Below are 13,551 nucleotides of genomic sequence, written 5' to 3' on the forward strand. Positions count from 1 at the left end.
GCCTGTGGAGATGTTGGTGGCCAGGTGGCACAAGTATGGAGAACACAGATGCCCGGGGCAGCTGGCAAGAAGGGGCAGGTGCTTTTGAAAGATGTTACCAAACCGTCCTTCCCAGTGGTGCTGCCAGGCCACTGGGGCATAGATCAGTGTGGGCACCTGTTCCTCCATGGCCTCTGTGACCTGTCGTGTCATTGGACTTGCTGGTCAGCCTCCTGAGTGACAGGATGGTGACAGCTGCCACTTAGGGGACCTCATTGAGCTTCCTGAAGACCCCACGATGAGGGTGTTAACATGGGGAGCCCCCTTTACAGATGAGGAAACTGAGGCCCCAGAGGTGGGGGCCTCACCCTCCTCCGGGCCTCATGGTGGGTGGTGGGGGTTCACCTTCCTTTATTTGCATGTGGATATCAAGCAGTTGTCCCAGCACTGTTTGTTGAAACACCTTTTCTTTCTGCATTCAGTGGTCTTGGGACCAGGCCTTGGGGGACTGTGCTCTGTACCATGTCCTCACCCAGGACGTCCCTCTAAGATCGCTCTTAGAGGCTACAGGGCCACGGGGGAGAAGGTCCCCACCATTCTCCAGCGGCTGCCTCGCCACACAGCTGGGAGGGATGTGGGGTAGAGAGCCCCCTGCTTGGCACTGGCCCTGGGGGTCTAAGTGATATGAGGGGCAGGGGTCGCCCCTGCAGTCACCGCGTCCTCCTCTGGCGGAGGTGAGTGGTGATGCTGGGTCACAAGAGGTGGCTTCTCATCCCAGTGGTCTCGTGCTGCACTTCAGGGCCTCCATCACCTGATCTGGGGGCTGTGGGGGTCCTGGGAGAGGGCTCATGGGTAGGGGACAGTTTTTGATGTTCTCTTAGTGAAGGACAGAGAAGAAGGATGGGGGGCTGGTGGCGGCGGCAGGGAGCCAGGATGGTGCTGGTCCCGCCTCCCTTCCTTCCATCCCTGCTGCAGGCCTGCCCTCTTCATGCCTGGCTCCCCGCAGCCTCTCCCTGTCCCCGTCTGTCCCGCCACTACTGGAACCCCACCCTGCCTCTGGGTAGTGTGCACCCCATCCTCAGAGCGGAACCCCCATCCCCTGGGCTTGTGGGGGCTTCACTTCCTGCTGTTTCCCCGCAGCCCACGGCCATTCTCCTGCTCCTCCCACCCCTCCTCACTGTCCTTCCTGGCACTCCAGGCCCCTCCGCCGCATCTTTCTGACTCGTGTTGCCACATCATCTGCCCTGGCTGGGGTTTTATCTCCCTGGCAACTGGAAATGTGTTGGTTAAGATATGGTGAGTTAGGCCGGGTGCAGTGGCTCATGGCTGTAATCCCAGCACTCTGGGAGGCCGAGGCAGGTGGATCCCCTGAGGTCAGGAGTTCAAGACCAGCCTGGCAAACATGGTGAAACACCATTTCTACTAAAATTACAAAAATTAGCTGGGCATGGTGGCGCATGCCTGTCATCCCAGCTACTTTGGAGGCTGAGGCGGGAGAATTGCTTGAACCTGGGAAGCGGAGGCTGCAGTGACCTGAGATCATGCCGTTGCACTCCAGCCTGGGCAACAGAGCGAAACTCCATCTCAAAAAAAAAAAAAAAGATATGGTGAGTTAAGAGGGTAACCAGCCCTGGAGCTGACAGCCTGGGTTAGCACCTCTGGGACTTGGGACGGCCTCCATGTTCCGCTCTGTGAAGTGGGAGTGACAACAGTGCCTTTCCCATGGGGCTGCTGGGAAGTGACTCAACGAGGAGCACCAGCAAGGGGACACCAGAGCGGGCCCCAGCCACCTCCTGGCAGAAGCATGGGGCTCACGAGGCGGGGCGGGGGTGGTGAGGACCAGGCGCAGACCTGGGCAGGGACCTGGGCGGAACGGGGGAGGCGGAATCTTCTAGAAGGGCCTTGGGGGAGGGCCCTGTCCCCACCATCCCTCGTGAGCACCCCCTGCCAACCTCCATCTCCCATTTGAGAGTTGGGGAACGTAGCAAAGTTATCTCAGGACTGGAATATGAATGGCAGCTCTTGGCCAGGCTCTGCCATATTGGAGAGGTTTCTAGAAGGTCCTGGAAGCCCACTGGCTCCTCTGTCATTTTCGGCATGGTTTTGGCCTCTCCTCTTCTCCCTTGCTTCATTGCTGTGATGTCAAGCATCTCTTCCTGTGACTGTTGACTCTTTTTGTATCTTCTTTGGAGAAATGTCTGCTCCATCCTTTGCCCGTGTTTTCTGTTAGGTTGTTTGTCTTTTGTTGAGTTGCAAGAGTTGTTGACATATTCTGCATACAAGTTCCTTATCAGATAATGTTTTGCAAATATATGTTCTCCTGTTTTGTACATTGTCTTTTCACTTTCTCTCTCTCTTTTTTTTTTTTTTTTTTTTTGAGACAGAGTATTGTTCCATCTCCTAGGCTGGAGTGCAGTGGCACAAACATAGCTCACTGCAGCCTCCAACTCCCAGGCTCAAGCGATCCTCCCACCTCAGCCTCCCGAGTAGCTGGGACTGCAGGTGTGCACCACAATGCCTGGCTAATTTTTTTCTTCTTTATTTTTTGTGGAGATGGCATCTTGCTGTGTTGCCTAGTCTGGTCTTGAACTCCTGTGTTCAAGTGATCCTCCCACCTCTGCCTGCCAAAGTGCTGGGATTATAGACATGAGCTGCCATGACCAGCCAAGTCTTTTCACTTTCTTGAGGTCTTTGCAAACAACTTTTCTTTTTCCACATGCACTTTTGGTGTTTTAGCCAGAAATCTTGCCTGATCCAAAGCCACGAAGGTTTAATCCTATGGTTTTCCTAAGAGTTGGGTAGTTCTGAGCTGGGTATACTAGCTCACATCTATATGCCCAATGCTTTGGAAGGGTGGGTTGGGAGGATCGTTTGAGGCCAGGAGTTTGAGACCAGTGTGGGCAACATAGGAAGATACTGTTGGTACAAAAAGTTTTTAAAAAGAGTTTTGTAGTTTGGGCACTTACATTTAGATCTATGACCTATTTGGAATTAGTATAAATATATGGTGTGAGGTAAGGGTCCACCTTCATTTTTTGTGTGTGAATATCCAGCTGTCCCAGCACTATTTGTTGAAAAAACTGTTCTTTTTGCATTGAGTGGTCTTGGCACTGTTATTGAAAATCACCTGACTTTAAGCGTGTGGGTTTATTTCTGGACTCTCAGCTTTCTCCCGTTTATCTAATGTCTGTACTTATGCCAGTACCATGCTGTCTTGATTACTGTAGGTTCATAACCGTGAATTATTTTTTGTCTAGTCTTGAGTGTAGATGTTAAGGAAAAATAATATGGTTCTTACATTAACATATAGAGACCCAGATTAGCTGATGAGACTACAGCCTTCTTAGTTGAGATCCAGAAAACCCTGGCTGTTCCCTGCCTCCTTGTTTCTTCTTTTTCTTTTTCTTTTTTTTTTTTTTTTTGAGACAGAGTCTTACTCTGTCACCCAGACTGGAGTGCAGTGCCACAATCTCAATTCACGGTAACCTCTGCCTTCTGGGTTCAAGCGATTCTCCTGCTTCAGTCCCCTGATTAGCTGGGACTATAGGCATGTACCACCACACTTGGCTAATTTTTTTTTTTTTTTTAATATTTTTAGTAGAGACAGGTTTTCACCATACTGGCCAGGCTGGTATCGAACTCCTGACCTCGTGATCTGCCCGCCTTGGCCTCCCAAAGTGCTAGGATTATAGGCATGAGTGACCATGCCTGGCCCCTGCCTTTTTTTTTTTTTTTTTTTTTTTTTTAAAGACAGAGTTTCGCTGTGTTGCCCAGGCTGGAGTGCAGTGGCATGATCTCGGCTCAGGCAGCCTCTGCCTCCCAGGTTCAAGTAATTCTCCTGCCTCAGCTTCCTGAGTAGCTGGGACTACAGGTGGATGCCACCACGCTCAGCTAATTTTTGTATTTTTAGTAGAGATGGGGTTTTGCCATGTTGGTGAGGCTGGTCTCAAACTCCTGACCTCGAAAGATCTGCTCACCTTGGCCTCCCAAAGTGCTGGGATTCCAGGTGTGAGCCACCGCTCCCGGCCTATTCCCTGCTTCCTTTATTGAGCCATGCCACCTTCCTCAGTTGGATTTTGGTATCAATAAGGATATGAAGGTTTTGGTGACATATTTCTAAATAAGAGGCTGTTTCCCTAGGATGCAGAGGTTGGTGACAAATGTCAGCTTTTCAGTTCTTTCACTCAAGAAGGATCTGCAACTTGAATTCAGCAGGTTTGGTCTTCAGTGGGGCCTGGAAGTGGAAGGGATGTGGTGGTGTCCACTTGGTTTCTGATCACCTTGGCTCTTTCACGGCCTGACTCTCCTCTTCCAGTGAAAACCTGCTATGCCTTGAGCTTCAGAGGACAGAGGTCCAGGTGGTTGTTTGGTTTGGTCTTTTTAACTTTTTATTTTGAAATAATTTTAGACTCACTGAACTGTTGCAAAGATAGCACAGAGCGTTCCTGTGTACCTTTCACTCAGCCCCTAATGTGAGCATCTTATGTAACCACAGAATGCTCAGAAATTAGCCAATTCCATACTACCATGCAATTTACTCAACTATAGATTCTTTTTTTTTTTGAGTCAGAGCCTTGCTCTGTCTCCCAGGCTGGAGTGCAGGGGCGCCATCTTGGCTCACTGCAGCCACTGCCTCCCAGGTTCAAGCGATTCTCCTGCCTCAGCCTCCTGAGTAGCTGGGATTACAGGTGCCTTCCACTACGCCTGGCTAACTTTTGTATTTTTAGTAGACACAGGGTTTCACCATGTTGGCCAGGCTGGTCTCAAGCTCCTGACCTCAGGTGCTCTGCCTGCCTTGGCCTCCCAAAGTGCTGGGATTACAGGTGTGAGCCACTGCACCTGGCCTCAACTATAGATTCTATTAGAATATCACTAGTTGTCCCACCAATGTCCCTTTCCTGGTCTAGGACCTCGTCCAGGACCCCACTCACCATTTAGTCTCATAGGCTCCTCCAGGTGTGCCAAGGCCTCCATCTTGCCTTGACTTTCACGACCTTGGCACTTCCAAAGAGCACCAGGCAGATGTTTTGTAGAAGGAACTTCCCTTGGCTTTCAGACGTTTTCTCATGGTTAGCCTGGGCTCTGGACTTTTTAGAAGCATACCATAGGGCTCATGCTGCTCCTTCCCTGTGCAGTGTATCAGGAGGTGCGTGTGGCTGATGTGGCTGATGCGGCTCAGCGTGGTGGTGTTGACCGTGGCCGCCTGGCTGAGGCGTCGGTCAAGTTTCTCCACTGCAAAGTTACTCCTTTTCCCTTTGGGACTTTGAGCCTGTGAACATGTCCTGTTCCTTCAACTTTTGCTCACCAATTTTTACATTTCCGCGTGGCTCTTTCCTGCAGGAAATATTCCCGTGGTGTTGGACTGGTGATTTTATGTTATGCTTATTCCTTTGACACTTATGAAGGAGAATTCTTCTGTGGAGGAAAGCTGTCCCTCTTCCCCATTTATCAGTTGCATTTTATTTATTTATATATTTTTGAGACAGAGTCTCACTCTTTTGCCCAGGCTGGAATGCAGTGGCGCGATCTTCGCTCACTGCAACCTCCGCCTCCCAGGTTCAAGCAATTCTCCTGCCTCAGCCTCCCGAGTAGCTGGGATTACAGGTGCCCACCATCACACCTGGCTAATTTTTGTATTTTTAGTAGAGATGGGGTTTCACCATGTTGCACAGGCTGGTCTCGAACTCCTGACCGCAAGTGACCCACCTGCCTCGGCCTCCCAAAGTGCTGGGATTACAGGCGTGAGCCACTGCACCTGGCGCTCAATTGCATTTCACATGTTCTCTCAGGAAAGCCATCTGTGTGTTTGTTTTATCCTGTGGGTTGTAACATGATGCTGTCATTCATCCTGGTGCTGAGGTAGGTGGTCCTCGTTTTGGCCATCAGGAGCCCCTCGCATGTCCTTTCTGCCCGCTCCCATCCTGTCAAGCCTTCCCTTCCTCTCAGGTCCTGCAGGGCGATCTGGGCTCAGCTTGTATATTCTGCCCCAGCCCTGGAATTGACCACGTGTCCTGCAGGGCTCCCTGGTTCCTCACAGTGGAGAATGATGTTTACAAACTGTGGCCTGGGTGCTGGCCGTGCTCGATGCTGTTGGGGCATCATTGCTTCTAGGTTTTCTCTGCTGACAGGGCTTGGAAGTAGGAACGCTAACCCATGTGTATATGCACACCTGTATCCATCTCACTGTCTCTTTTCCAGAGCTCCTGAGTTCATACTCATAGGGTGCCAGAGCGTTCATGTCGTGGGCCCATCTGAGGCTTTGGGTGTCCACCCCCAACCTGTAAGGGGTACGCAGAGCCCCTGGAAAAAGGAGGACCTTCCTGTGGGGCTGAAGACTTGGGTGGGAGGCAGGAGATGGCATGTCCCTTTTGAAGGCCACCTGGGGCTTGTGGCCGTGGGAGAGGCAGGCAGGGCTGGGCCCTGGGCCATCCCGGCTCAGGCAACCTCGCCAGGCGTGCAGGTGAGAGGATCCCTTCTTTCTGGTTCAGAGACTCCTGTTTTTGGACCCGTGCTCAGACCCGGGAAAGAGGTGGGCAGTGTGGTCTGGTGCAGGCCCAACTTTCGGAACCCACCCGAGGGTCAGCCCTGGGGGCTCCGGTGACTGGCAGCCCCATGGCCAAGAGTACCTCCTTTTGGGGGGTTCTTGGGGGCCAAGTTCTGTGGTCCTCAGGCCTCTGTGCTGTGGTGCCACTGTCTCCTCCCTGATTCCCGCCAGTGGTCTCTTCTTCCGCCCCACCCGCGGGTCTTGGCGGAGGGGCTCACAGAGCCAGCACTGTATCTGAGGCTGCCCTCAGGGTCAGCACGTGCGGGGCAGTGGCTGTTACGTAATCGGTAGCTCGTGCTGTTTGGGGGCGTTGTCGTCCGATGCCTTGGGCTGTCACTGCAGGCTTCTGTCATGCTGCGGTGGGCTCCCCTTGCCAGTTCTATTCCTAGTGCCCAGATCTGCCTAGAAGCCGCAGCAGGGTTGACAGGCTGGGCCCGTGGCAGGGTGCAGTCAAACCTAAGCCACCTGGGTCTTCCCCTCCTGGCAGTTAATAGAACTTAGCTTTTGGAGCAGTTTTAGATTTACAGAGAATTTGGGCAAGTGGTAGTGAGAGTTCCCGTCTCTGCCTGCCACCCCCCACCCGTTTTCCTTGTGGGAACATCCTGCCTGTTGTGGCGCATTTGTCTCTTGATTAACACGTTGTTAATGACACTTCCCGCTTCATTCGGATTGCCTCTGCTTTCCCCTAATGGACTGTTTTCTGTCCCAGGGCCCCCCACACCGGGATTCCTCGTGGCCCGTAGCCGTCCCAGGATCCTTCGTGGCCCGTGGCAGTCCTGGGATCCCTCGTGGCCCATGGCCCTCTCCTCAGGCTCCTCTGGGCTGGGACCACTCCCGACACGTTCCCTGTGTTTTGTGCCTGGACAGTGTTGAGGGGGCTGGCCAGGCAGATGGTAGGGCGCCCCTCGATTGGGGTGTGTCTGGCATTTTGCTCAGGCTGGCACGCGGTGGAGGCTGTTGGGAGGACTTCAGAGGTAAGGGCTCTTCTCATCACATCCCGGTGAGCGTCAGGACGTGGGCCATCAGCAGGATGGGGTTGGAGCCGTGTGGCTGTTGCTGCTGCCCTGACGGCGTAGCTGCAGGGGTTCATCATCCTCTCCCCGGGATGCTGCCCCCGACTTTCCATTTGTGCACTGATGGAAGGAAGTCACCGCATAGCCCATGCGTAAGGAATAGGGAGCTGCCTGGGCCCCAACCCCTCGTCTTCCCTCCTGGAGGGGCAGTGGAGGCAGGCTAGCCCGGCCTCTCATCTATTGCGGATGGGGACCAGGGTGGACAGAGGCCTAGGCTCGGGCTGTGCCTTGAGAACTGGGGCCCGGCCTCAGCCCCAGAGCCTCCAGCCTCCCAGCTTGGAGTGGGCGCTTTTGGGGCCCCAGAGAGGGAGGGCAGAAGGACCCGTGGTCTTGGTAGCACCGGGCTGAGGTCTGTCCAGCTGAGAGCCTCAGGGTCTGGTGGCTTCCATGCCTTCTTGACCAAGTGCTGAGAGTGGGGGTGGCCCGTCGTGCAGCGGGGGAGAGAGCTGTACAAAGAGACAGTTACTTGTGGCAGGGGAGACCCAGGATCCCGTGGGGACCTGGTGGCAGCCAGGAGCAGCAGGTCACAGGGGAGAGGCCTGGGTGGCCCCTGGGAGTGGACAGGCCCTTGTCTCCGCTGAAGTCAGGGAGGTACCCTTTGCTGCTATGACAAATGGCCGCAGACACAGTGGCTGAAAACAGCACCCGTTCATTCTCTCCCATGCCTGGAGGAGAGAAGTCTGACATGGGCCTCCCTGGGCTAAAATCATGATGTGGGCAGGGCTGTTCCTTCTGGAGGCTCCCGGAGACAGTCCATTCCTTTCCTCTCCCAGCGTCTAGAGGTGTCCGCATCCCTCGGCTTGGGGCCCTTCCTCCCCCTTCACAGCCACAGCGCAGCGTTTTCCAGGCCTTGACTCTCACCCTCTGGCCTCCTCCCATGAGGAGGCTGTGAGGACATTCCGCCTCCCGGATCATCCCCTATCTCAAGATGCCTAACTCAGTCCCATCCGCAAAGCCCCTGTTGCCATGGAAGGTGAAATAGTCCCAGGGTCTGGGGGTTAGGATGGGGACATCTTTGGGAACCATTGTTCTGCTGCCCACAGCTGCGTGGAGGGATTCCGGTCCTCGGGTTCAGTTGGTGACAGTGTCGGGTAGGCCTGGGCAGGTGGGAGAGGTCGTGAAGCCCTTTGCAGGGCACTTGGCCGCTCATCTGGCACAGGGGAAGAGGCGCAGCCCGTGGCCCGGCAGTCCAGGACCTGCTGTTCCCTTCCTACCCGGGGCGGGGCCTGTGGGAAGATATGGAAGTCGGGTGAATGAGCCGTGCCCAGTGATTTTAAAAAGCAGATTAAAATAACATAGAAAATGTCAGAGCTCATTGCGTGCTCTAGGGCATTTGTGAAACTTGCATTATTTATTTTTTTGAGACAGGGTCTCGCTCTGTCGCCCAGGCTGCAGCCTTGAACTCCTGGGCTCATGCGATCCTCCTGAGGAGCTGGGACCACAGGCACATGCTACCACACCCGGCTAAGTGTTTTGTTTTGTTTTGTTTTTGAGACGGAGTCTGGCTCTGTTGCCCAGGCTGGGGTGCAGTGGCACGATCTCGGCTCGCTGCAAGCTCCACCTCCTGGGTTCACGCCATTCTCCTGCCTCAGCCTCCCGAGTAGCTGGGACTGCAGGCGCCCGCCACCACGCCTGGCTAATTTTTTGTATTTTTAGTAGAGACGGGGTTTCACTGTGTTAGCCAGGATGGTCCGATCTCCTGACCTTGTGATCCACCCGCCTCGGCCTCCCAAAGTGCTGGGATTACAGGCGTGAGCCACCGCGCCTGGCCTAAGTTTTAAATTTTTTGTAGAGACAGAGTCTCACTATGTTGGCCAGGCTGTTGAGACTCCTGGCCTCAAGTGATCCTCCCTCATCATCCTCCCAAAGTGCTGGCATTACAGGTGTGAGCCACTGTACTACTTGGTGTTATTTAAAAGTCCTGGTGAATTGTAAAAAGTGTACAACTTCGGGAGGCCGAGGTGGGTGGATTACAAGGTTAGGAGTTCGAGACCAGCTTGGCCAGCATGGTGAAACCCCGTCTCTACTAAAAATACAAAAAATTAGCCGGGCATGGTGGCGGGCGCCTGTAGTCCCAGCTATTCGGGAGGCTGAGGCAGGAGAATTGCTTGAACCCGGCAGGCGGAGGTTGCAGTGAGCCGAGATCGTGCCACTGCACTCCAGCCTGGGTGACAGAGCGAGAGTCCGTCTCAAAAAAAAAAAAAAAAGTACAACAAAACCAGGGCCCCAGGGGGCGAGCTCCTCTGCCCTGGAGGTTGGGCCTGCCGAGGGGACCTTAGAGTGCTTCTGAAGTGAGAGTTGGCATTAGCTGAGCAGAAGGAAGCAGAGGGCAGCCTGAGCTGAGAGCCAGCACCGGTGGAGCTCTGAGACGAGGGCTCGCAGGCCTGGGCACCCACCGAGCCCCAGGTGTGCCAAGTCCAGTGGGAGCTGCAGGTCAGGTTGTGAAAGTCCTTTTTTTTCCCTAGACGTAGTCTTGCTCTGTCACCCAGGTTGGAGTGCGTGCAATGGCATGATCTCGGCTCACTGTAACCTCTACCTCCCAGGTTCAAGTGATTCTCAAGCCTCAGCCTCCTGAGTAGCTGGGATTACAGGTGCACATCACCACGCCCGGCTAATTTTTGTGTTTGTAGTAGAGACGGGGTTTCACCATGTTGACCAGGCTGGTCTTGAACCCCTGACCTCAGCTGATCTGCCTGCCTCGGCCTCCCAAAGTGCTGGGATTCCAGATGTCAGCCACCTCGCCCCGCCATGAAAGTCTTGATATTGGCCGGCGTGGTGGCTTATGCCTGTAATCCCAGTACTTTGGGAACCCAAGGCAGGAGGATCACTTGAGGCCAGGAGCTCGAGACCAGCCTGGACGCTATAGTGAGACCCTGTCTCTTAAAAAAAATAAAAATAAAAAAGTCTTGGTGTCACATCCAAAGTTTGGAGTTCTGTTCCGCATCCATCCTACAAGTATCTGAGCGTCTTTGTGTCCAGGACTAAGTTCAACGCCTGGGCTGTGCCTTGGCCCCTGTGCGGTCGCAGCCCCTGCCCCCCTCTCTCCCCGTGCTCTGCCTCTTGGTGTTGGGAGGTGGGGGAAAAACTGGGTGCATTTTCTGCACTTTTCCCCTTGGAGGAAGCAAAACTTCTTGAAAATCTCTCAGTAGGTGTCTGCGTCTTAAGGCCTCCAGAAGCTTCTTTGGTTTCATTTGACTGTTCACGGATACTCCCGCTGCCTTGGCCCGTAGATTTTAGGAGCTAAGCTTAAAATGGGCCCTCATTGGAAAACTTGACTGGGTAAAGTGCTTATAGTTACGGATTTTTGTCTTGTTAAAAATTGACAAGAATGTGGAAAATCTGAATAAAGGCAAGCGTCCTCGGGCTGCGTACAGCTGGTGGGAGTCGAATTTAGAATTAAAACTTGAGCGTGCCATCAGTTTAGTTAATCATGCTTTTATTTGCATGTTTTAGGAACCATCACTGTTGCTGGAGGCACCTGACAAATCCTAGCGAATTTTTGGAGCATCTCCACCCAGGAACCTCGCCATCCAGAAGTAAGTAACACGGGCCTGGCCCCCAGGTGGCCCCACAGGACCAGGGACCGGAAGGCTGTGGCCTCTTCCCTGGGTGGCCCGCCAGGGAGAAGGTGGTGGCCTGACCGGCTCTGAATTCCCGGGACGTCCAGGCGCAAGCTGTGCTTAGACGGGAGCCTGCGGGCCATGGTAGGGAGGTTCTTCTGCAAGTTTCTTCATGAAGCCTGTCTGCTTTGGGCTTGCATCTCGCCCTTCGGCATCGAACCACCCGACTCTCACTTCTAGAAACTGGAAAAGCTGTGGCTCCTCCTGCATTTCGGGTGACACTGGGGTTTCCCAGGACCCACTACCCTGTCTGCATCGGCCCTGGGGACACCTGAGCTCAAGGGGCGTTCCCCCACACACTGTCAGAAGTGGGGAGCAGTTAGAGCAGGGCTCTCTAAAAATGGGAGACTCATTTTTAAATGCCTTTGAGGTAGTTCCATGGCCCAGCCGCCCCGGGTTTAGTTCCTTTTCTTGTGCCTTTCTTATAAGCCGGTGGCACAAAGAGGTGCCTCTGGTGGCAGCCCAGGGGGACCACTCAGGAGAAGAGAGAGAATGACCTCATCCCTTCTGGCCACACCCACAGGGCCCGGGTGACCCAGTGGAGGGTGTCAAGTGTGGGATGAGCAGTGCAGTGTCCTCCCGTCAAGGCAGAGGTGGCAGTGGCAGCGGCGGCCGGCAGAGCACCGGGGAAAGGCTGCCTTGTGCGGCGTCGCCCTTGGATTGTGTGCCGCTTCCCTGTGCAGAGGGAGGAAGGGGCCCATCCAGGGCCCCCTGTAGCTAATGAGGGCGAGTGTGGACTTGAGCTGGGGCCCTTGAGTCATTTGTGGGTGCCTTTTCTGTTCTACTACGATTAGGACCTTGAGGAGGGTGGTGGAGCCCAGCCTCTTTTGGGAAGTCATAAAGTGTAAGGGAAGAGGCTCTGGTCACGTGGTTGGCAAACTATGGCCCCTGGACCCAATCTGACCCCCTGTTTTTATAAATAAAGTTTTATTGGCACATGGCTGTGTCCATTTGCCTGAGCATTGTCCCTGGTTGCCTTCTCCTCACAGTGGGAGAAGTGACTAGCTGGAACAGAGGGCGTGGCCTGCGCATCTGGAGATATTTCCTGTTTGGGCCTGTGCAGAAAACCATGCGCCTCCTCTTGTCCAGGTTAACTTACTGCTGGCTGGAGCAGGATGGACGAGTCTCTTGGTGACTTGGTTTGGAAATTGGCAGGTCTGTCTGTGCCTCCTGAAATCTTGCTTTTACCCTTCAAGTTTGTGCTTCCTTACAAGATGGTCAATTTTCTAAAACTCAGCTGTTTTCTTTGTACCCAAATTAACACAGCATGAACCAAGTAAGCAACTTGCTCTGTCAGTTAGCTTTATTATTTATTTATTTATTTTTATTTTTTTTGAGACAGAGTCTCCCTCTGTCACCCAGGCTGGAGTGCAGTGGCGTGATCTCAGCTCACTGCAAGCTCCGCCTCCCGGGTTCACGCCATTCTCCTGCCTCAGCCTCCCTAGTAGCTGGGACTACACGAGCCTGCCACCACGCCCGGCTAATTTTTTGTATTTTCAGTAGAGATGGGGTTTCACCGTGTTAGCCAGGATGGTCTCCATTTCCTGACTCGTGATCCGCCCACCTTGGCCTCCCAAAGTGCTGGGATTACAGGCGTGAGCCACTGTGCCCAGCCAGTTAGCTTTATTTTTTTGAGGCAGGGTCTCACTCTGTCACCCAGGCTGGAGTGCAGTGGTGTGATCATAGCTCACTGCAGCCTCCACCTCCTGGGCTCAAGGGATCCTCCCGCCTCAGCCTCCTGAGTAGCCGGGACTACAGGCATGCACACCACACCTGGCTAATTTTTTTATTTTTTGTAGAGGCTATGTTGCCCAGGCTGGTCTCAAATTCCTGGCCTCAAATGATCCTCCCACCTCAACCTCCCAATGTGCTGGGGTCACAGGCGTGAGTCACCTCATCCTGCCGAAGTTCACCACATAGCCCTTGATAAACCCACTTTATATCTGAAGGTGCTGAGTGCAGCAACCAGGAGGTGCTAGAAAGTCCTCGGGGAGAGCACAGGAGACAGGAGTAAGGGAGCAGGGCTCCTGCTTCCGAAGGCCTGGAGCTGAAGGAGAGGAGGAGCTCAGGGCAAACCATGTGGGCTTGCTGTGGTTTGGCAGGTCCCCAGATAGGCTGCCTTCACTTTGTAAAAGTTAACTTTTACTGAGAGGAAATTCACATACATCATATTCACTCTTTAAAGGATACAGTTTGGAGGTCGTTGGTGCACTCACAGGGCTGGGCAGCATCACCACTCATTCCGGAGCATCTCATTGTCCCAGAGGAAGCTCTGTCCCCCTCAGCAGTTGCTCTTCATCCTGTCCCCCACACCCCAAAACCAGGCATCTCCTTC

At 53.9% G+C, this 13,551-nt stretch overlaps 1 protein-coding gene across 16 annotated transcripts in view; it reads left to right on the plus strand.

Annotated features, from left to right (window-relative positions):
* Positions 1-13,551, plus strand: part of KDM4B (lysine demethylase 4B) — a 184,486-nt gene that overhangs the window by 36,095 nt on the left and 134,840 nt on the right. For all 16 annotated transcript variants that reach the window (XR_007066691.1, XM_005259521.5, NM_015015.3 and 13 more), the window contains exon 2: positions 11,050-11,132. The gene's annotated coding sequence lies outside the window, so the exon portion shown is untranslated. The remainder of the gene's footprint in view (positions 1-11,049; positions 11,133-13,551) is intronic.

Source organism: Homo sapiens, chromosome 19 (assembly GCF_000001405.40).
Source record: "Homo sapiens chromosome 19, GRCh38.p14 Primary Assembly".
In the NCBI taxonomy this organism is placed as follows: domain Eukaryota; kingdom Metazoa; phylum Chordata; class Mammalia; order Primates; family Hominidae; genus Homo; species Homo sapiens.